Genomic DNA, 24,665 nt, shown 5'->3' on the forward strand with positions numbered 1-24,665 from the left:
ATTAATAACTATGGTTTAGGCCTGGCGTGACAGCTCACGCCTGTAATCCCAGCACTTTGGGAGGCCAAGGCAGGAGGATCTCTTGAGTCCAGGAGTTGGAGACAAGCCTGGGCAACATGGTGAAACCCCGTCTCTACTACAAATACAAAAATTAGCTGAGGCTGGTGGCACGTGCCTGTAGTCCCAGCTACTCGGGAGGCTGAGATGGGAGGATTGCTTGAGCCTGGGAGGTTGAGGCTGCAGTGAGCTGAGATCTTACCACTGCCCTCCAGCCTGGGTGACAGTGAGACCCTGTCTCAAAAAAAAAAAAGGAAAAAAATTAACTATGATTTAAAGTGTTTAAAATAGTTAAACTTTGGAGTAGAACTAAATTTTATTCAAAGTCCCCTTTAAAACGATCGCTAAAATTTGCTAAACTTAGAAATAGATTAGGATTTTTAGCTGAAGTTAAAAGCTTAAGGGAACAGGTAGTTTTTCAATTTATAAGTTTAGCAGAGGGAGCATCAGCTTTTAAAACCTAAATAAATGCCTGAATAGTAGTTTCTACATTCCCCCAGATGATCCTTAAAGGCACTACAAAGCCTCACATTTAATGAAGTCAGCTTTCAAATAGTATGAAAACCGTGCTGCAATTTTTAATTGTAATTATATTTAATTTTTAACTTGGAGAGAGTTGTCATCTTAACTATGTTGAATTTTCTCATTGATGCACATGGTATATTTTTTCATTTATTTACTTCTTTCTTTCTTTGTCTTCTTCCTTTCCTTTCCTTTCCTTTCCTTTCCTTTCCTTTCCCTTTCCTTTCCTTTCCTTTCCTTTCCTTTCCTTTCCTTTCCTTTCCTTTCCTTTCCTTTCCTTTCCTTTGACAGAGTCTTGCTCTGTTGCTCAGGCTGGAGTGTAGTGATATGATCTCGGCTCGCTGCAACCTCCACCTCCCAGATTCAAGCAATTTCTCATGCCTCAGCCTCCCGAGTGGCTGGGATTACAGGCATGTGCCCCCATGCCTGGCTAATTTTTTTGTGTTTTTAGTAGAGACAGGGGTCACCATATTGGCCAGGCCGGTCTTGAACTCCTGGCCTCAAGGCCACCTCGGCCTCCCAAAGTGCAGGGATTACAGGCGTCAGCCACCGCAACCTGCCTAAGTCTACTTTTCTTAATGTAAAATAAAGCTGGTATAATTTTCTCCATTCATATCTTTACCATATTCTGTTAAGTTTATTCCTGGGTATCTGCCATGTATACTTATATTACACATGAATTTTAAATTATGACCTAATAAGGAATATTACAATTTCTTACACTTGTTGACAATAAAGAATTTTGGTCTGGAACCAGCAATCTTATTGGCAAGACATGCCAGGAGAGCTGTGAGAATTTCCTAACCGAAGATATTACCTCAAGTCAATCCCACCTGTTAGGTTACTTTATGTAACTATCAAATGTTGTCTTTACTAGGTGACTTTGGGGAAGGAAAAAAAGTAAACAGAAATCTTAAAAATAAAATTTTACAAATGCTGTCTTACAGTTCAGCATTTGAGTAAGGAAAAATATGCAATAAAAGATTCCATTAGAAAAGTGTATAGAATTTAAAATGTATAAAGAAAAATTACATATGTTTTAAGACAGAAAATTATATTCTGTTGGATCTGTTTTTGAAGCAAAGTCTTCCTTGTCTTTCTTGGCCTTGTGCTGCAGGCTTTAAATTTTTTAAGAAGCCATTTAACATTTTGACTAGCAAAGGCATAATCCACACATAGAGAACTATAACAAGGAACGCAGTATCTAACTTATACCATTTCTCACCCCCATCTTTAATGAGTAACCACACTGTATTAGTTTCTTGTGTATCCTTTGGGAGATTACATTCATGGATGTATAAGCAAACACAAATATGTATAGTATTTTACCCCCGTTTAAAATTCATATGGTAGCAAAATACTCACCATAATTCTCTACCTTGGTTTTTTGTGTTGGTTGTTTAATTCTGTTCTATGTTCTTTGATACATCATAGAGATCATCGCATATTAATACATAAAAGAGTTTTCTCATTCTTTTTTTCCTTGTATTATTGCCACATAATATTCCCTTGTATGAGTGTATCATACTCCCAGTAACCACCCTTTTATTGATTACCCTTTATGTTGTTTCCACTGCTGCAATGAATAACCTTGCTGCAATGACTAATACTGTACATATGTTATATTGCACATGTACAAGTATATTCGTAGGGTGAATTCCTAGTAGTGGAATTAGAGCATTATTAAAGACAATGAAACTACTGTTGTGCACACACTTAACGCAATCATGAATTTCTAACCATAGTGCTTTTCGGTGATTTTCAAATGTCTTGGATCACCAGAAATTATATTCAAATTTTATTATGATCTAAGAAAGACATGAACTTTAAGTAGAAATTAACTGAAGTCACATTTCCCTTGGTGAAAAATTATTTTAGATATCATTTCTGTCTGTAAGCAAGTATTAGGAGGACTTTCAATATGTCCAGATGTTGAAATAATGTTTCACACTAGGGGTCGCCAAAACAGTATTTAAGGCCAACAAATGGAACAATGGTTGAGAACATTTTTATAATGAGGCACCCTTGAGCTTCTCAATCACAGTAAGCAGGAACGGTGCCTTGTGAATGAGATGCTAAAAATAATACTTTGGTGTGCTGTATTTTTAAAGGCAACTAAGACTTTGATAATTTAGGAGAAAAGGAAGCAACCATTCCCTTATACTTTGGGGGCATTACACAATAAGTGGTGATGTGGAATTTAGGTGATATGGAATTTAGAGAATTTTTAAAATAAATTTGCTAGTTATAATCTTATTTTTCTGTGATTGAAAATGTCTTTATCTTCTACTTTTCTTTTTCCAACCATTGTGGGTTTCATATATCTGGGCAGATCTAGAACTCTCCATTTTTTAAGGGTTTTGCCCCTAATTGGGGATATACTACAAGGGTTAAATTTTATGTACTTTTCATATAACTTCTCTTGGGACAGATATGATTGCCATGGGCCTCCATTCTACAACTCATAAGATTTAATAGGCTGGTTCCTTTCTGTTCCTTAGTGATAACATTAAATCACAGGCCAGTGCAATTTTTAAACAATTTCTCAATGGAGAAATTTTACAAAGAAACATTGAAGCACTGTATGCATGTTCCATTTGTTACAGTAATATGAAATTTACTCTTATAATAGTATTTTTATGAGAACAAGTGTCTTAGTTCAGGCTGCTATCACAAATGCCATAAATTGGGTAACTTAACAGAAATTTATTCATCAGAGTTCTAGAGGCTGGGAAGTCCAAGATTAAGTTCCAGAAGATTTGGTGTCTGGTGAGGGTCTGCTTCCTGGTTAATAGACAGACGTCCCTTCTCTGTGTCCTCATGTGCCTGAAGGAGCATGGGAGCTCTCTTGGGCCTCTTTTATGAAGGCACTAATCCCATTCATGACAGCTCTCCTTTCATGAGCTAACCTCCCAAAGGCCGCACCTTCTAAAACCACCATCTTGGAGTTGAAATGTCAACAAATGAATTTTGGGGAGACACAAGCATTTAAACCACAGGAAATAGTTAAGAGTCACAATTTGTCATTTTCACAGTTTACCTAAGAGAGGGAAGTCATCTTTAAATATATGGTGAGAAGAGGTTTGAGGTCTAAAAAAAAGATTTAACTGAAGATTTTTTGTAACTTCAGTAAAAGGAATAAACAGGGTGCTATGATAAAGAATAATGGGGAAGAAGGAGGGGGGCACTGAGGAGAAGGTGATTGAGGGGAGGCCACTCTAGAGAGGTAACACTTGCATGTGTCCTGAGGAATGACAACAAGCCAGCTATGCCAAGAACTCTGGAAGAGCATTCCAGGCATAGAACAAAGGCACTGAAGTGGGGAGAAGTTTGAAGGACTCTAGGAACCACTAGACGGTTGGAGCCTAGTGACAGAGAAATAGTTACATTAGATGAAGTTGGACATGGAAGCAGTGGCCAGGTAATTTACAGTCTTGTTTGAATTTTTAGTCTATTGGGAAGCAAAAAAAAGTTTGAAGCCAGGGGAGCACTATGAAACCCTCATGTGCAGAACGGGGGCTTTGGGAGGGAAGAAGAGAGTGAGCTAAATACAGCCACAATCACAATCTGTGTAAAGATGCATGTACAAGACTGCCCTGTCACTTCAACCATCTCTTGCCTCGCCATTGCTCCAAACACACTGGCCAGGCATGTTTCTATCTCAGAGGCATTTTTCCTTTTTATTTCCTCTGCCTGAAATGCACTGTCTCCAGATGTCCATGTGGCAAAGGACCTTGGTTCTTTTAGGCCTTTGCTCACAATGTCACTTTTTAAATGAGTCCTTTTCTGGCCAAATTATCTAAAATTGTAAACCTGTCCCTCCATTACCAATGTTTCCTACCCCTATTTCCTTTATTTTCCCCTTACCACTTATTGCTAGCATACATGTTTAACTACATGTAAATACATAAATAATGTTTTATTTATCATGCTTATTGTCTGTCTCCTTACATAGAATATAAGCTCCGTGAAGACAAGGACTTTTGTGTTTGGTTCATGGCTCTGTCCGCAGCATGAAGTTCAGTGATTAAGTACTAAATTAATGTTGATGGAATAAATGAAGGAAGAAATGTTCATGATGGCCTTTTGAGTGATAGCAAAGGACTGGAAACAAATTGAGTGTTAACAAAAAGGAATAATTACATCAATTATGGTATAATCATAATATGTAGCTTTTAAGAGGCCCATACCTAGTAGATATAAATAGGCATAAAAAGACATCCATTTTATATTAAATGGGAAAAGGAAGTTATAGAAGTTATATGATCCTGTCTTTCAAACACACACCACACACACGTGCACACACACACACATTTGTATCATCATAGGAAAAGTATTGAAGGAAATATTAACCATTTGCCTTGGGGGAATGAGATGGGTGATTAAGGGGGATTTGGTTTGAATCATGCATTACCTTTGACATAAAAAGAGAAAAATAGAACAAACAAACGTTATTTAAAACCAAAATGTGATTCTACTCCAAACCTACCAGCATGGATTAAAATGTAAAATATTGACAGTATTAGAATATTGCTATCATAATGGGGTAGGCAGGAGATAACCAAAATCTCAAAGGATCCCCCAGGAATTAAAACTAGTCACCTCAACATCTCAACCATCCTTTATCTTAAGCCTAAGAGATGTGGATTTGGGGGGAAATTTTATTCTATAGAATTAACATCAGAGAAAAAGACCCAAGACAAGGCTTTACAAAATTATGAATATACTAATTTTTTATTGTTTTTGAGTTGCTTCAGTGACTTATCTAAGAGGATTACATGGAACAGTCTTTCCTAGCTGAGTCAGTTCAGCTAAGGTCCTTGAACAGCAATAATTACAAATTAGAATCTGGAGTCTAAAAATAAGAGGTGAAATGGATGGGACTGACCTTCTGTGCAAATATTGAACACTTCAGGTTTCTAACTAAAGATGTCATTCATTACAGTCTACCCAGGGGAAAAGTTGCAGGTGAACCCATAAGAAAGGAGCTGAGCTTATACTTTTCTTTTTATCCGAATTTGAGCAAGTGTAAGAATTGTCTGGTCCCTAGGGAAAGTTTAATGCCACTTCTCAATCGACATGGGGTAGTTGTTACATTTTCACTTTTTAGAACAGGTATGTGTATAGAAGTGATGACAGGTGCATCCTTATTAATGTATGGTTTCTTTCATTTTTCACAAATTGCACTTACTTTCATAAAACAGAACCACATTTTAAAATCTCCATGTAAATTTTTGCAATGTTATTTATTTCTATCATATTTTCTTCACATTCACCTATGAGTGCTTCCTAACTTAGAAGCCCCTAAGGATCTGTGTTTAATATATTGTCTTCAGTGACCCGAAAAGACCATGACGCAGAAGCAAGCCTAACCTTTTTATTTTTTTATTTTTATTTTTTTTATTTTTTTGCTGTTCATTTGTTTGTGGTAGCTTAAGACCAAAAAAGAATTTGGGGGTGGAGCAGATTGACACTCACAGCCATAGCTAACTACCTTTTTTTTTTTTTGAGACGGAGTCTTGCTCTCTGTCCCCCAGGCTGGAGTGCAATGGTACAATCTCGGCTCACTGCAACCTCTGCCTCCTGGGTTCAAGCAATTCTCCTGCCTCAGCCTCCCAAGTAGCTGGGACTACAGGCACATGCTACCATGCCTGGCTAATTTTTGTATTTTTAGTAGAGACAGGGTTTCACCATATTGGCCAGGCTGGTCTCGAACTCCTGACCTCTTGATCTGCCCTCCTTGGCCTCCCAAAGTGCTGGGATTGCAGGCATCAGCCACTGCGCCTGGCCAGCTAACTACTATTAAAGAAAAAAATTATTCAGTGATACTTGTTGAAACATAGTAGGGAAGAATTTATTCAGAACCATCAAGGTAGGTACAGGGATGACTGCAACAGTGTGTTGCAGTAGGGGAGAGAGATTGGGCTTAACTTCCAATACAGCCTGGACAAGTGGGAATTTATAACCAAGGAGCAGGGTGGGGGTCAGTGAATGGAAAATTACTAGGAGGAAATATCAGGGGTAAAGGGGATTCTGGCTAAATCAACCTAACAGGATTCTTGCTGAAGACAGGCCAGGATGATCAGACATCATCTGGGGGAGGATGGAGACGAGGAACCTGATCAGATATCAAGGATGATCAGATTATTGAGGATGGGGGTTCTGGTGAAATTGACTTAGCAGAGTTCTTTTGCTAAAGCTGGATTTTACAAGGAAGTGCACAGATGGGCCCAGGAGAAAGTTCAGAAACCTGATTAAAGAATCTTTGTCAACCAGGCACGGTGGCTCAAGCCTGTAATCCCGGCACTTGGGTCAGGAGTTCAAGACCAGCCTGGCCAACATGGAGAAACCCCATCTCTACTAAAAATACAAAATCAGCCTGGCATGGTGGCACGTGCCTGTAATCCCAGCCACTCGGGAGGCTGAGGCAGGAGAATCGCTTGAACCTGGGAGGCGGAGGTTGCAGTGAGCTGAGATCATGACACTGCACTCCAGCCTGGGCAACAAGAGCGAAACTCCGTCTCAGAAAAAAAAAAAAAAAATCTTTATCGGTGTCCATGGTGCTATTTCCCCACCCATTCTTTTGACATTTTCTTCAGCTTATGTAAGCCACTATGCAAAGCAGTTTCAAGTCTCCCTCCTTCTAAGTGGATGTTTGCTTCTAAATCCCTCTTATAAAGACATTCCAGCAGGCTGCTGAGGACCGCCTAAATAATGAGCTTCAGTGAGTTAGTTGCTTTAGTTGTCTGAGGAACATATTTATTCTGTCAGAAACGTAAAAATACTTTCAGTCAAAGCCCCGTCTTCAGGGTCCTCAAGATAGAGAAATTCTGCTTTGGCTTCATACCCTTCATCTCTATTTTTGGATCTCTTGATTTGCTAGACGGTCTTTCTATCCGCTTAATCACTTTACTTAAAAAGGCAAGAAAAGCACATGGAATTTTGTCCTAGTTTTAGTGCGGTTCTGCCCTAAGACCAAGGCAAGAGTGGGGCTTTCCCCGCGCCCCTCACTTTAGAGGGACCTGTTTGGACTCCTCTGTGAGCTTCACCCTCGCATGAGCTGCAGAGTCTACGGGTCAAGGGGACATTCCCACCTAGGTCCACACCCCCATGCTCCCCACTCCCTCAATCCCTGGCTTGGACTCACACAGATTAAATTTGGAAACAGAAATTCCAAGTATGAATAGTCCCAAGCCCACATCCAGGGCTTTGCGCAGGTTTCTTTCCTGCATCTGCCCTCCCAAAGGCTCACTTTGCTGCTCAGGTGCATAGCACTGGGCCTGCAGTGTGCCTAGGGAATGGCTCTTGGCTGGGGTGTTCGACTCGTGAACTCGGAGAGGCAGGTTGAGAAATTCCATCTGAAGAGTTTGGGCTTAGAGCTCCCTCGTAACTTAGAGATGATTTTTTAAAGGACTCAGGTGTCCATCTTTGGTTCAGAAAAGATGATCTTGTACCTAAATGTCTCCCATGTTGCCATTCCAGTCTCAAATGTCATACTGGTAAGTAACCTTATGGTCATAAATTGTATATTTATTAACAATGACTTGCTCCAGGTGGTAACCTCAGTTCTTTTGAAATAGAACATCTGATCTTGTGATATTAAAGCTTCTTTAACTTGTGATGTTAAAGCTGCTTCCTTTACTAAGCAAGTGACTTTTCAAATCGAAGATTTATAATTAAATGCAAAGCTGGTAAATTATATCATGCCACCCGTATGAATACTTTCATGTTAGGCTTAGGAATAATCTTTTTATTATTTTCTTTGAAGTGTTTATAATATTTAAAAGAATTTGCCGTATTAGACTACCTTACAGATGTCTTGTGATTCCATTTATTTAAAACATGTAATTTACATAATTTCAAATTTTAAAAAGTAAGAATATGAGCAAAAGTGTAAGTGGCATAATATTTAAGAGAAATGGATTTATCAAATTTATTACTTGAGATTTACGAGAGCCTTTGAAGTGCTGTGGAAGGTTTTAAAAACAAGATCGGGGCTTGCTTGTTCAGGCATTTGAAATGCTAAAAATAAATCAAATATATTAAGCCCATTAATGCAGTTTAAAATATTTAAGGGGGTTTGCTGTATACAAAGTCAATATTAGAAAGTAATGCTTCTTCTATATTCCAGCAACAAGAAAATAAAATGGTCCACACATAAATGAATGCTTGATGTACAATAAAGGTGCACTGCAGGGCAGCGGGAGAAAAAAGTCTTTCCAATAAGTGGCACTAGGACAATTGCGTACCATGCTGGAAAAAGAAGAAATTGAACTCCTAACTCACACAAAAGTCAATTCCAGGTGAATATGAGATCTAATATGTTACAAATTGTTAAGTTATCCAATGATTAATACAGAAGAATATCTTCGTGACCTGGGAGGGTGGCGAAAGGTTTCTTAAATGAGACACAAAAACACTAACCGTAAAAGTATAGATTAGTACAATAAATTACATGAAAACAAAACACTTCTGTTCCACAAAAATGCCATTAAAAGAATAAAAATACAAGCCATAGACTGGCAGGAGATATTTGCAACTTAGGTAACCAACTATCAACAACAAAACTTGTTTCCAATCATATAAAGAACTCCTTTGGTAATTTGGTAAGAAAAAAGGCAGAAACCCTAACTAAAACTAGGCAAACGACTTGATTATGCATTTCACAATAGAGAAAATCCAAATGGTTACTAAACATGGAAAAGTGTTCTTCACATAATTAATAAACAGAGAAATGCTAATTAAAATAAGATGTCACTGAGTACCTACTGTATTAGCAAACTTTTTAAAGTTTCATAATATCAAGTGTTGATGAAGAGTTCTAATTTTTGGTGGGAATATACTGTAACTTGTACAGCCAGTTTCTTTTTGTTGTTTTGTTTTGTTTTTTGAGACAGGGTCTCACTCTGTCACCCAGGCTGGAGTGCAGTGGCACAATCTCAGCTCACTTTAATCTCTGCCTCTCAGGTTCAAGTGTTTTTCCCATCTCAGCCTCCCAAGTAGCTGGGACTGCAGGAGCATGCCACCATGCCTGGCTAATTTTTGTATTTTTAATAGGGACGGGGTTTCACCATGTTGGCCAGGCTGGTCTTGAATTCCCGGACTCAAGCAATCTGCCAGCCTCGGCCTCCCAAAGTGCTGGGATTACAGACACAGCCACCGCACCTGACCTGTACAGTCACTTTGGAAAACAATTTGGGATTATTTTACTGTGTTGCTTGGAGGAAGCATCACTCCTCTGGGAATCAGGATCTTTACAAGTAATTCCCCAAATAGGTCACTGGGAGTGATGGTGGAACCATTCCAACTTTCACTTCATTCCCAGCTCCATGTATTCTATATACTGGGAATATAGCACCACATACAGTGGCAGATGCTTGAAGGTCTGTTCTGTAACCTGAGGATAGTGCCCTATCTTTTGCAGGGTGTCATCTCCCAGCCAGCACTTTAGCTGTAACTTCAAGAGGCAATTTCACTACTCTTTCATGATGGCAGTTTCTAGATGGTGCATGATCCACAACCACATGCCCAATGCCATACCTCAGTTGCTATGAAGACAGTCTCGTGGTTCAAAGACAATGTTAGGCGCCATCCCAGGTCAGTAGGTCATACACTTTATGAGCTTGCACACAGTGGAGATAGCTGAGGCACTACAGGCAGGAAAAGTAAAAACATATCTGGAATATGTGTCAATCCCATTCAAGATAAATTTTTTTTTCCAGAGTTGAATGGAACTGATATAAACAATAGGCCGCCGAATGACTAGTTGGTCATCTGAAGGAAGAATACCAATAAGAAAAGTAAGTTCTAGGGATCTGATATACAGCATGGTGACTATAATTGATACTGTATTTTATACTTGAAATTTGCTTTCAAGATTGCTAAGATCTACTTAAGCGTTTTTCTACCATGAAAAGGTAGAGATGATAGGTGTATTAATTAGCTTGATTGTGATCATCATTACACAGTGTGTATGTACATCAGATCTCCACATGGACACCTTAGATACATAAAATTTTTATGTGTCAGGTATACCTCTATAAGGGTGAGGGGAAAAAGAAGGAATGGTACCATATCAAGTACTCGGGAGTGATCTTTGTTGCTGAAAGTTTAGACATCTAGCAGCAACAGTAGGTAGATCAGCCATGGTGAGACAGAGTTTATATTGTTGGACCCAAGCTTCAGGGTTGCTTGGAACACAGCAGGAACCTGCTTCAGAGTCTTTTTCGTTCTTGGCCCAAGTCAAAATTAACAGTTTCCAGATTATTCCAACAGTTTGTTGAAGAGTATTCCCAAGTGTTTTATATATTTTGCCTCCAAAATGGCCTGTAAAGGAAGGTGTGATGTATAGAAACTTGTCGTTTACCTTGGAAGGGATGTCTCAGCATATTCCAGCATGTGGATGCCTAAAAACTTTATTGAAGTGTATGGCTGCTGAATCTTTGTAGTGTTTTTCTTCCTCCGTTTAGATTACGTGTCTTAATAAGACGTCCAGAATAATCGCCATTTCTTGCTCCTAAGGTCCAAATAACATGATGTCACCCACTTAGTGACCCCAAGTGAAGTTCTGTGGACTGTTCAGATGGCCCAGAACCCTTTGCACTATCACGGCAGAGATCTAGAGAATTGACATAGTGCTTGGACAAGACCGTGAGTGTGTAACTGTTAGCCATCCCGTGTGTGTTTCTTGTCCTTCTGAATGATAGAGAGCAAAATGGAAGCAGATCAATAGCCACTAACCACACAAGCAGTAGTGTTAATCTGCTATAGTAAAGATGTCACATCGAATACAGAAGATGTTATTGAAGTTACTACTTGGAGAAGTTTGTAGTAGTTCAAGGTCATATGCTCTGATTCACCTGATTTTCTAGGGGGCCGAATGGTGAATTATATGGGTTTATAATGAAATCCAGCACCCCTATATCCTTTAAATTTCTCAGGGTGATGCTAAACTCTGCCATGTCACTCCTGGGATGCAACGTTGCTTTTGATTTATAGTCTTGGCAATGGGGTGAGAATGTAGTTTTAGGGGCTTCTACTTGCCATTCCTACTACAATAGCTCTTACTCTATAAGTCAATGAAATAATATGAAGGTTCTGTAAAATCCTAATATGTCTGTTCCAATTATACATTCAGAAACTGGGAAAATGATCTCTGTGTGAATCTGTAGACCAGAGGACACATGTGTCCAGCTAGGACTCCATTAATTACTTGAACCTCATATACTTCTGCTCTACCAAGAAGTCCATGAAGATGCTTTTGTTCTCTAGGTATCTGCATCAATTCAGACCGTATATCTAACAGTCCTCATAAAAGCTATGTATTCCCATTTCCAGAGCATGATACCCTAGTGTATAGCCAAAGACCTTTTGGGGAATAGCTAGAGGAATCGCTACTGTATACATTTGTCCTGGTGTTGCAGTGTCCTTCTTCATGTGGACCTGGCCTCTCTTTCAGTCAAGGGGAATGTTCTGTAGTGGGTTTGAAAACTACCTGAGGTTTGTAAACTGGGCAAGGAATCCTGACTTTCTATTGGAGTAGCTGACCACAGTCTTCCGCTCATCTACTCTTGGTTTTTCTTTTGATTTTATATATATTGAGCAATATCCTTGATGGCTGCACATCTATCTTATCCCTTAGAACATTTTATTCTATTTTTTAAAATGAGCTATTCAATTTATATGAATTTTTAGATTAGGCAAAACTAATTATTGGTAAAATAAATCAGAAAAATGATTGCCTCTGTGGCTGGGGACTTACTGGGGCATAAGGCATCCTTTGGGGGTGATCAAAATGAGCTTTCTTCTTTTTTATTTTTAAATTGGCAAATTAAAATTACATATATTTATGGTGTACAATATGATGTTTTGAAATATGAATGGGTTGTAAAATGGCTAAATCAAGCTAATTAATAAATGCATTGCCTCACATACCATTTATTTGCAGTGAGAACACTTAACATTTACTCTGTTAGCAATTTTCAAATATATCATACATTGTTATTAACTATAGTTATCTTATTGTACAATAGATATCTTGAACTTGTTCTTCCTGACTGGCTGAAATTTTATATTCTTTGCCCAATATCTCCTCAATCCTCAGCCCTCTCCATGCTAGTTCCTGATAATCACCATTCTATTCTCTGCTTCTGTGAGTTCAACTTTTAAAAATTCCACATACAAGTGTTTCGTGTGATATTTGTGTTTCTTTCTTTCTGGTTTATTTCACTTAACATAATGTCTTCCAGGTTGATCCATGTTGTGGCAAATTTCTTTCTTTTTCAAGGCTGAATAATATTCCAGTTTGTGTGTCTGTGTGTATATGTGTGTGTGCAGGTGTATACATACCATATTTTCCTTTTAAAGTTTTATTTCATTTTCAATTGACACGTAATTATACGTATTATTTATGGAGTACAATAATATGTTTTGATACATGTATACATTGTGAAAAGTTCAAATCAGGGTAAGTAGCATATCCATCACCTTACATATCTATCTTTTTTTGTTGTGAAAACATTCACAATCCTCTCTTCTAGCTATTTTGAAATATACAATACATTATTGTTAACTATAATCACTCTGTTGTGCAGTAGAACACCAGAACTTATTCATCCTATCTAGCTGTAACATTATACCTGTTGACCAACATTCCCCATCCCCACTCCTCCTCACTACCCTCCTGGCCTCTGGGAACCATTATTCAACTTCAATGAGATCAACTTCTTTAGATTCTACATATGAGTGAGGTCAGGCAGTATTTGTCTCTGTCCCTGGCTTATTTCACCTAACATAATCCTCTGGGTTTTTCCATGTTGTCCCAAATGACAGGATTTTTTTTTTATGGCAGAATAGTATTCCACTGTGCATAGGCATACACCACATTTTCTTTATCTATTCATCAGTTGGTGGACACTTAGCTTGATTGAATATCTTGGTTATTGTTATTAGTGCCGCAATCAACATGGGAGTGCAGATTAGCTCTTCGACATACTGATTTCATTGCCTTTGGATATATTCCCAGTAGCGAGATTGCTGGATCATATGGTAGCTCTATTTTTAATTTTTTGAGAAACCTCTCTACTGTTTTTCATAATGGCTGTACTAATTTACATTCCCACAAACAATGTAAAAGGGTTCCCTTTTTTCCATATCCTCACCAACACTTATCTTTCATCTTTTTTTTTTTTTTTTTGCAGTTGCAAGATTTAATAGAGTGAAAACAGAGCTCTCATACAAAGGGAGGGGACCCCAAGGGGGTTGCTGCTCCCTGCTCGAATGCCTGGGTTTATATCCCAATCATTGTCCCTCCCCCTGTGCTCTCAGGTGATAGATGATTGGCCATTTCTTTACCTCCTGTTTTACCCTAATTAGCATTTTAGTGAGCTCTCTTTACTACCTGATTGGTCAGGTGTGAGCTAAGTTGCAAGCCCCGTGTTTAAAGGTGGATGTGGTCACCTTCCCAGCTAGGCTTAGGGATTCTTAGTCGGCCTAGGAAATCCAGCTAGTCCTGACTCTCAGTCCCCCTTCTCAACAGGAAAACCCAAGTGCTATTAGGGAGATTGGCCGACAACCGCTCTTAACTGCTTCCTGCTGAATTGAGGCATAGTAGGGGTCGTGCAGTTGAGATTTCCTCAGGAGGGGTGCCTTCCATGTCATTAACATTGGAGCACGGTCTAGCAGGCCAGTCCAGGGGTCCGTGGTAGATCTTAGTCATGGACTGCATCTGGGGCTCCATTTGAAGAACAATTTGTAGTCTTACAGCTTCGATTCTGGAAGACATAAACTTAACAAGGAGGTTAAAGACACAGGGATAGGAATGTATGGCCGGCAGTGCAGGGGATTATTTCTTTGGCACACTTCACAGGCCCTGACTATCTGCTTGATAGTTTTGAAAAGGCCTGGTCTAGTAAATAATAATTTGGCCATCTGATGGGTGCTATCAATGCCTAAGTGGAAGGTTTGGTGAAGGGTTTTAAGTAATTTCCATTGGTTAGCTGAGGGCAAAAGTATTTTTCCTTCTTTGGTGGCTAGCCATCCTGAGGGGAGAAAACTATGTCCTCGTGGGGTTCCCCATTCTATTTCTCCTGTTGCATACTGGGGTTTGGTTTCCCAGAGGGGATTACCCCATACTAGGGGTCCTTCTATAAGCAGTTCTAATGGAGGGTCCTGCGTTGCAGCTTTTTCGGCTTCAATATCCACTTGGCGGTTCCCTTCTATTTCCCTTTCCTTTCCTTTCTGATGACCCTGGCAGTGTAAGACTGCCACCTCTTTAGGTTTCTGTACAGCCAATAATAATCTCCTAATGGCTTCCTGATGTTTGATAGGTATTCCGTCGGAAGTCAGGAATTCCTTTCCTCTCCATAGTGCTGTGTGGGCATGGAGGACTAGGTAAGCATACTTAGAGTCTGTTTATATATTTACCCTTTTTCCTTCCCCTAATTCTAGTGCCCAAATAAGGGCTATTAGTTCCGCCAGCTGAGCGCTAGTTCCTGGAGTGAGGGGATTACTTTCAAGTATTCCATTATCACTGACCACTGCATACCCCACTTTTCAAAGTCCTTTTTCTACAGAGGAACTTCCATCAATATACAAGTTGAGGGCAGGATCAGTCAAGGAACCTCTAGATGGTCCCCTCGAGTGGCATAGGTTTGAGCAATCACCTGTTGACAGTTATGTTCTATCTCTTCTTCATTGTCTGGAAGAAATGTGGCTGGGTTAAGAGTTGCACAAGTGTGCAGTCACAGCACTGGCCCTTCAAGTAATAGAGCCTGATATTTAAGCAAATGGTTGTCTGACAGCCACAAGTCTCCTTTATCAGTGAGTATGTGATTTTACATCATGAGATGTCCACACAGTAAGATCTCTTCCCTGTATTATTTTAACTGCTTCAGATACTAAGACTGCTACTGCTGCCACTACCTGTAAACAATGAGGCCAACCCTTTGCCACCACATCACTTTCCTTTCTCAGGTATGCCACGGGTTGCAAGCTCGTCCCTTGGACCTGTGTAAGGACTCCTAGAGCTATTCCTGTTTTTTCTGTGACATATAAGGAAAAAGTCTTGCCCCGTTGGCAAGCTTAACACTGGGGCTTGGGTTAGGGCCTTCTTTAAGACCTGAAAAGCTGCTTCTGCTTCAGGTGTCCATCTTACTAAATGGGTATTGGCTTTCTGAGTTTTCTTAATTAGTGTATGTAATGGCCTGGCTATTTCGCTGTACCTGGGAATCCATATTTGGCAGAAGCCTGTGATGCCAAGGAGCCCTCTTAGTTGTTTTCGGGTTTTAGGATGAGGATAAGCCAATATAGGCTGGATACGTTCCTCACTGAGGGCCCTGGTGCCTTTGGATAGTTTTAGCCCTAAGTATTTAACCTGCTGTGAGCAGATCTGAGCCTTTAGTTTGGAAACCTTGTAGCCACAGGTGGCGAGGAAATTTAAGAGTACTTGGGTGGCTTGATGGCACAAGGTTTCTGAAGGGGCGGCTAAAAGTAAATCATCCACGTACCGAAGGACAAGAGTGTCCAGGTATGAGAACTGGCTCAAGTCTTGGGCTAATGCCTGGCCAAATAGATGGGGGCTATCCCTGAACCCTTGGGGTAAAACAGTCCAGGTGAGTTGAGACGTTGGGTTCAAAGGATCTTCAAAGGCAAGCAAGAATTGAGAGTCAGGATGTACAGCGATGCAGAAAAGGGCATCCTTAAGGTCCAGGACTGTAAACCACCCTGTTTCCTCTGGTATTTGGGAAAGCAGAGTATAAGGGTTACGTACAGCTTGGTATAGAGGGACAACAGCCTCATTGATGATCCTGAGATCTTGCACTAACCTCCACTGTCTGTTGGGTTTCTGTACTCCTTAAATTGGAGTATTGCAGGGGCTATTGCATGGTTTTACTAGGCCTTGGGCTTTTAGGTCCTTAACAATCTTTTGGAGTCCTTGCTGGGCCTTGGGTCTAAGGGGGTACTGCCTTTTGTAGGGAAAGGAGGCGGAATCCTTTAGTTTAACTTGAACAGGACAGGCATTCTTTGCTCGTCCATATTGTCCTTCTGTTGCCTAGACTTCAGGATTAATTCCTTCCTCAAGCAGGGGACAACAAACGGGTGTTCCTTCTCCTATGTTCAGGTGTATATTGGCCCCTGCTTTTGCTAGAATGTCTCTCCCTAACAAGGGAGTGGGACTTTCAGGCATAATTAGAAAAGCATGTGAAAAGAGTAAAGTTCCCCAGTCACAACTTAGTGGCTGGGAGAAGTATCTAGTGACTGGCTGTCCTAGGACCCCTCGGATGGTGACAGATCTGGAGGACAGTTGTCTGGGACAGGAGAATAAGACTGAGAAGTCCATGCCAGTGTCCAGGAGGCAGTTAACCTCCTGGCCCTCAATGGTCAAGCATACCTGGGGATCTGTGATGGTGATGGCATGGGCTGGCGCTTGCCCCGGCCACCCTTAGTCATGCTGCTGGATCATCTGGTTAGTGGCTTCTGACTCAGAGGACCTTCGTCCTCTGGGGCAGTGGGCCTTCCAGTGATTCCCTTGACATAAGGGGCATGAATGAGGGGGCGGCTTATTTTTATTTGGACAATCTTTTTTAAAGCATCCTTGTAGACCACACTGGAAGCAAGCCCTATTAGGCATTTGATTTGCCCAGCTTTTCCCTTTTCTAGAGCCTCCAAAGTCCTCTTGCCTGAGAGCCATGACTAAAGCGGTGGCCTTTTTTTTAATCCCGTTTGTCCCGTTCTGCCTGCTCCTCCTGATCTCTATTATAAAAAACCAAGGTGGCCAAGTTCAATAGGGTTTCTAAGTTTTGCTCTGGGCCTAAGGCGGACTTTTGAAGTTTTTTCCTAATGTTTGCAGCTGACTGAGTGATAAACTTATCCTTTAAGATAGGTTGGCCTTCAATAGAGTCAGATGACAGAGAGGTATGCTTCCTCAATGCCTCCCTTAGTCTCTCCAGAAAGGCAGTAGGATTTTCTTCCTCTCCCTGTGTTATAGTGGACATTATTGAATAATTTATAGGCTTTTTCCTAGTTTTCCTTAGTCCTTCTAGCATGCAAGTTAACAAATGTCTGCGGCACCAATCTCCATGTTCTGATTCTGTGTCCCAGTCAGGGTCTACACTGAGAACTGCCTGCTGGCCTGTGGGGAATTGTTCTTTCCTCTGTTGTCATCCTATCATTGACCTGACTGAGATATCAGAGATCGCCAAACTCTCGGGCTGCAGTTATGGTGGCACTTCTCTCATTTGTGATTAGTATCTGATCCAGCAGTAACATTATATCTCTCCATGTCAGATCAAAGGAGTGTCGTACCTTTGTAAAACATCAATATAGCCATCAGGGTTATCTGATAATTTACCTAGGTCTATTTTAATTTGCTTCAAATCTGAGAGAGAAAAAGGTACATGCACTCCGGCTGGGCCGAATTCTCTTCCTCCCACGACTTGGAGGGGGCATAATTGGGGAATATTGGCACTTTTTGGTTCATTGTTTACCCCTTTGTCTATCTTCTTTTGGACCGTTTGGGTTGAAGGGGGGTCCTTATTTGTTGGGAAAGGAGTCAGGGGGACACCGGGATAGGGAGGTAGACTCTGAGGGCTTCCTGTAGGGCATAAATCACACTTTTTACATAATTGCGAGTTGTCTCTTAATGAAAAGAAAGTTTGTACATATGGCACTTCACTCTATTTGCCTTCTTTTCTACAAAAGAGGTCTAGCTGTAAGATGGTGTTATAATTTATACTTTCCTCAGGAGGCAAGATTTCTCCCCCTTGAAGAGAATATCTTGGCCAGGCGGTACTGCAGAAGAATATAAGTTTTTTCTTTCTTAGCGTCTGAGGGTCAAATTGGTCCCAATTCTCCAGAATACATCTTAGGGGCATTTTTGCCTTGGGGGGAAAGTTTCCCATTGCTTTGGAGGTCCCTTCATGGTCACCAAAAAGTTACTGGGGGTTCTTGTTCTTAGAGCTCCCAAGATGGTGGCAGGCCGCTTCCAAGATGGCAGCAAGCCTCTTGTTCTCTGACTTGGGGTTCTTGGCCTCACGGATTCCAAGGAATGGAATCTTGGGCCATGTGGTGAGTGTTATAGCTCTATTAGAAGCCGTGGGTTATGGAAGAGAACCGTAGAACCCAGCAACTACTATTCAGTTTGCTTAGAATGAACCTGGGCACTTAGCCGTGCAGGAACAATGGCAAGCTTTTAGCCAGATTGGGAGTGGCAATGGGCGTCTCGCTGGATCATAAGCACAGCGGAAACCCTGCTGGATCCGGAGGGGTGGAAGTCAGCGGTGGGTCTGCGACAGTGGCAAACAGCAGTGGTGGATGGTGAGTGAAAGCTCAGCTCAAGCCGTAACAAACACGGACCAGAAGAGTGTGCAGTTGCAAGATTTAATAGAGTGAAAACAGAGCTCCCATACAAAGGGAGGGGACCCAAAGGGGGTTTCCCTATCTTTCATTTTTTTGATAACAGCCATTCTAAGAAATGTGAGGTGATATCTTATTGTGATTTCAATGTGATGATGATTAGTGATATTGAGTTTTTAAAAAATATATCTATTGGCCATGTGTATGACTTTTTTACGAGAAATGACTGTTCAGGTCCTTTATCTATTTTTAAATTGGATTATTTGTTTTCTTAGTATTGAGTTGTTTGAGGTGTTTCTTAGCATCTATTGTTTGAGTTCCTTGTATATTTTGCATATTAACCCCTTATCAAATGTATGGTGTGCAAATATTTTCTTCCATTCTGTAGGTTGTCTCTCCACACTGTTGATATTTTCTTTGCTGTGCAGAAGCTTCTCAGTTTGATGTAATCTCATTGATCTATTTTTGCTTTTGTTGCCCCTGCTTTGGAGGTTATAGCCAAAAGATCATTGCCCAGAACAATGTCATGGAGCTTTTGTCTTCTGGTATCTTCTAGTAGTTTTACAGTTTCAGGCCATATGTTTAAGTCCTTAGTCCACTTTGAATTGATGTTTTGCATATGGTGTGAGATAAGGGTCTAATTTAATTCTTGTGCATGTAGGTATCCATATTTCCCAACGCCATTTACTGAAGAGACAGTTCATTTTTCATTGTGTTTTCTTGGCATCTTTGTCCAAAATCAATTGAGAGTAAATGTGTGAATCTATTTCTGGGCTCTCCATTCTGTTCCATTGGTCTAAGTGTCTGTTTTTATGCCAGTACCATGATGTTTAGATTATTATAGCTTTGTAGTATATCTTGAAGTCAGGTAGTATGATGCCTCCAGCTTTGTTCTTTTTGCCCAGGATTTCTTTGGCTATTTGGGGTCTTTCATGGTTCCATATGAATTTTAGGACTGTTTTTTTCTATTTCTCTCAAAAATGTCATTGGAATTTTGATAGGAATTTCACTGAATCTGTAATTCACTCTGGGTAGTATGGACATTTTAACTATATTAATTCTTCTAATCCAGGAATGTGAGATATCTTTCCATTTATTTGTGTCTCCTTCAATTTTTTTCATCAGTGTTTAATAGTTTTCAGTGTACAGATCTTTCACCTCCTTGGCTAAATTTACTCCTATTTTATTTTTTGATGCTACTGTAGATGGGATTGTCTTTTTAATTTCTTTTTCAGATAGCTCATTGTTAATGTGTAGAAACACTACTAATTTTTGTATATTGATTTTGTATCCTGCAATTTACTGAAACTTTTTTTAGTTCAACAGCTTTTTCTTGGTGGTGTCTTTAGGGTTTTTGGTGTATAAGATTACGTTGCCTGCAAACAGAGACAATTTTTTTCTGATTTGGATGCCTTTTATTTCTTTCTCTTGCCTAATTGCTCTGGCTAGGACTTTTAATTATCCCACAGAGTTTCTGGTGGTCAGAAATCTGAGGGTGGTTTTGCTTGTTCACTGTTGGTGGTAGCATGCTACTGTGTGGCCTCTGGAATCCTATCATCTCCATGACTACTAGGGACCCTAGTTCTGAAATAGCATCTCTTATCATCAACTCTGGTCTACAGAGGAGAGCCACCACTCACCTCAATGACACTGGTGTCCTCTACCAGCAATTTCCTTATTGCCTTGATGCATAAGTCCTCCATACTCTTTCAAGAATCATATTTAGCTGATAAGTTTCCAGTTTCACATAGTAGACCCTGTTTAGCATGTACACTTTGGTGGGCCTTTCAATCCCTTCCTCCACTCTGCCTGGCAACTCTGGCACCTCCACTTGATTTAATAGGGGCCACTGCTCTTACAATCTCCTGAAGTCCATCCCAACTAGAAAAACTATTGGCTTGATTGATAGTTTATTTTCATTTCACCCATATATTTCACTAAACTTTCTTCTGGCTTAGGATTCAGCTGGAGTGATGTGTGATCCTGAGCTCTGATTGGTGTTCCAATTTTTCCCATAAAATTGAGGTTAATACAAAGTGCATGAGATCATTATAATCAGCTCAGTAAAAAGAACTGTGGGCACAAGAAGAGGTCAGAGAGTCCACAGAAGAGGAACAGACCCGGGAACAAATAGCTTAAACTTACAAAAGAGCTAGCATGAAGTCCTATTTTTCAGGAAGAGGTGTCTATATAAGGCCAATGTGAGGTTCATTTTCAGGCAATTTATTAATGTTAATTGAGAGCTTTTTCTTCGTTTCAAATATTATAGCCTTATTTTTCCTGTCTGAACTCAATAAACAGCTAGTAAAATTAGCCAACATGGACAAAAATTAACACGGAAAAGGCCTGTGGTCATAAAACACATTAACTATTCAGCATTGAGACTATTTTTATTTCTATCTTCTGCCAGAAAATTAGCAGCAATTAAAACTATAATTTTTTTTCTTATTTCCATATAGGCCTGAGAGGTTAAAATAGAAAGTTAAATAACGTGAGTGACATACCAAATGACCCAGCAAGTGTTTGACTGAGATAAGTTTTAACACTTCTGCTAAAAAATTGAAAAACTGTCACTTCCTTGTTAGAGCTGAAAATAGTCAGCTCTTACAAATTGTTCTTCCTGATGCAAATCCATATTAAGCTTTGTATTATTAACACGAATCACTCAAAACAATTCCAAATGGGACTTAGGGAGAATTGTGTAATAAATAATACTAGATTGTTGATAAAGCATTTAATCCAGTTTAAATGAGTGCTTTACCCCAAGAGAGCTGACTTGAGCTTTTTTTCCTTTCCTTCTATAAATTCAAGGCCTACATACAAATTCAATTTAATAAATATGTATTATGCAGCTGTTAGGTAAAAATTCAGTGACTAGGTGCTTCCAGGACTACAAATGTGAAGAAGATGTAGTGAATACTATGTAAATTACAATGTAATTGTGGTAATGAATATGAAAAATGTATAATTTATTACAATGGAAGGCAGCATAAAAACTGACTATTCAGTGAAGGTGTGGATTACTTTTAATGTGATGAAAAAGGAATTTATAAAAGAAATGATATTTGGGGTAGGCTTAGAAGTCTGTGCAGCATTTCAGAAGTTGGTGACGGCCCTTTAGGGTGATCATTCTGGGGAAGGGTCTTTCTTTCATGAAACAGGTAATGGAGAACTGAAAGCTCATGGTGTGTTCAGAGAACAGCTAGCAGAGGAGAGGAGGAAAGAAGAGAAGGAAGGAAGAAGATCAAGCTGAAATGGTACTACGGGGACTCTTAATGCTCCATTAAGCCAAATGGTTTGGACTTCATCTGTAAGTAATAGGGAGCCAATGAAGAGTGTGGGACAGGAGAGTAATTCAATTCAGTATGTATTTTGAATTGATGGCTATGATAGTGACTAAGGAGAATTAGAAAGTAGAGGCAGTTAGACTAGTTCGGTGGCTGTAGAAATAGTCTAGGTGGGAGAGGAGGTCACATTTCAAAGGACCTTGAAGAAATGGGCACCTGTGGTGGAGATATTGTGTTGTCTCCCAATGTCTGTTTGTTCCTTCTTGCTTTACTTATAACCCCCCTCACCTTTCACTGGGTGCATCTCCATTCGGCATAAAGATTAATCCCTGCCTCCTTGGCAGTTAGATGGGGTCATGTGTCTAAGGTCTGGCTAGCAGACATAAATGGAAGCAGTCTCTGCAACTTCTGCAGAATGACCCTAACGGAAGGGATTCACTTTTCTTTATCTTTTCTCCTTTCTGATGGTTGGAGGCTGGCCATGGTGGCTACAACTGGAGCAGCCATTTGGGTGGTGAGGTGAGTTCAAGATGGAAGCCAAGCACAACCTAGAAGGACCCTGACTCCCTGACACCATGGTTTGCCATATGGGACCTGGACTGATTCCCTTTGGAACTTTATCTGAGAGAAATAAACTTCTGTCTTGCTTAAGCCATTTTTATGGTGTCTTTCTGTCATTTGTAGCTAATCCTAATCCTAATTTTTACATTATCCTTCCATAAGCTGTGAAGAGCCACAAAAAGTTTTATGCGGGGGAATGAAATGATGAATATCATCTATTGCAAGAGATTCTATGCCCGCCATGTCTTGAAAGAACTGCAGACACGCAATGCTTCAAGCAACAACACACCTTAGGAGACCACGGCAGCCACCTGGTTTGAGAGGGGACCTGGACTGAAATAAGGCAGCAGGAAGGGGCTATCATTCCCTGAAGATGCCCACAGCCCTTTCACAACTCCCATGTTTTTGCTCTTACTATTCCTTCTGATTAGAAAGATCTCACCTTCAAGACCTACCTAGTCCTGAAATGATCTTCGGCATTCTCACAGAGTTTTGTTTTCCTACAAAAGTTTGTCCACTCATTTCTTTGTTCATGCTATTAATGCTCTCTCAAACACATATATAAATCCGATGGTGTCTTTCCTGGTTAAACTCCCTGGGCAGACAAAGCACTCCAAGAACTAAACATCATGGAGCACTTACTGTGCACTGGGCAGATTGTTACGCCCTTTATATGCACTGTCTTATTGAAGCCTCTAAACATCTCTATGAGGTGAGTAGCTTCTCTCCAAGAACGCTGGACTTCCCTCAAAAGCAGCACTCTCTCCTGGTCATCCTACATAGGCAAGGGGATATGTTGTTGTTGATAGTGTTGTTTCTGCCTTGGCGCCTCTCGAGTGGCCATTGGAAAGGTGGCTGCCCCTAGAGCTAGAGGCTTCCAAAAGGGGGTCATTAACACCTGTTGTCTTCAGATTTCTGTATTAGCCACAACTCTCAACAACAACAAATAAACTCTATGTCTTTTATATATTTAAATCACTGATCCAACTTAACAGATACTTACTGAATACCAATTCTGAACTTTGCATTCTACAGTTTATTTTGGTGAAGAAAATGAAAAAAACACAGTTTTATTTTATTTTTCCATAGATTAGCCAGTTGTTCTAATACCATTTACTGAAAAAATAATAGTACTTATTTCCCTCTCTGGTTTGAAATACTATATTAATCATTTATTTTAAACTAATTTCGCATATGTGTGTATCTATAGGGATTTTATAAACTCAAATTATTCCTGGGAATATAACCTTGTAATTGTGTGGAGTTTTTAATACTCTTTTTTTTTTTGTTTTTTTTAAGACAAGCTCTCACCGTGTCACCGAGGCTGGAGTGCAGTAGTGCAAATTATAGCTCACTGTAACCTTGAGCTCCTGGGCTCAAGCAATCCTCCCAGCTCCCTGCCACAGCCTCCCAAGTAGCTAGGACTACTGGTGTGGGCCATCATGCTAGGATAATTTTTAATAATTTTTTTTTTTTTTTAAGAAACAAGGTCTTACTATGCTGCCCAAACTGGTCTTGAACTCCCGGCCTCAAGCAGTCCTCCCACCTTGGCCTCCCAAAGTGCTGAGATTACATGCATGAGTCACCATGTCTGACCCTAACTATTTATTTTGGAATAATTACAGACTCACACGAAGTTGCACAAATAGCTCAGAGTCCTGTGTTCCCTTCCTCGCAATGGTGACATCTTATATAACTACAATATCAAAACTAGGAAATTGATATTGGCAAATTACTGTTAAATAAGCTACAGCTATTCAATTTTTCACCATTTAAAAAACATTCATTCACTATTATGGATGTGTGAATAGTTCTATGCAATTTTATTCCAATATATAGATTCGTGTAACCACCACCACAATCGAGAAACAGAACGATTCCATT

At 40.0% G+C, this 24,665-nt stretch overlaps 1 long non-coding RNA gene across 2 annotated transcripts; it reads left to right on the forward strand.

The window, feature by feature from the left end:
• The first annotated feature begins 7,838 nt into the window (after window positions 1–7,838).
• Window positions 7,839–22,875, forward strand: LOC105378036 (uncharacterized). Of its 2 annotated transcripts, XR_001744405.2 has the most exons (5): window positions 7,839–8,078; window positions 8,711–8,882; window positions 10,302–10,379; window positions 22,074–22,243; window positions 22,695–22,875. It is a non-coding gene; the product is annotated as an uncharacterized LOC105378036 (long non-coding RNA). The 2 variants fall into 2 exon arrangements; XR_943089.3 differs by having other exon boundaries at window positions 22,074–22,875.
• Window positions 22,876–24,665: the final 1,790 nt, after the last annotated feature.

The sequence above is a fragment of the Homo sapiens genome, chromosome 6, assembly GCF_000001405.40.
Source record: "Homo sapiens chromosome 6, GRCh38.p14 Primary Assembly".
Lineage (NCBI taxonomy): Eukaryota > Metazoa > Chordata > Mammalia > Primates > Hominidae > Homo > Homo sapiens.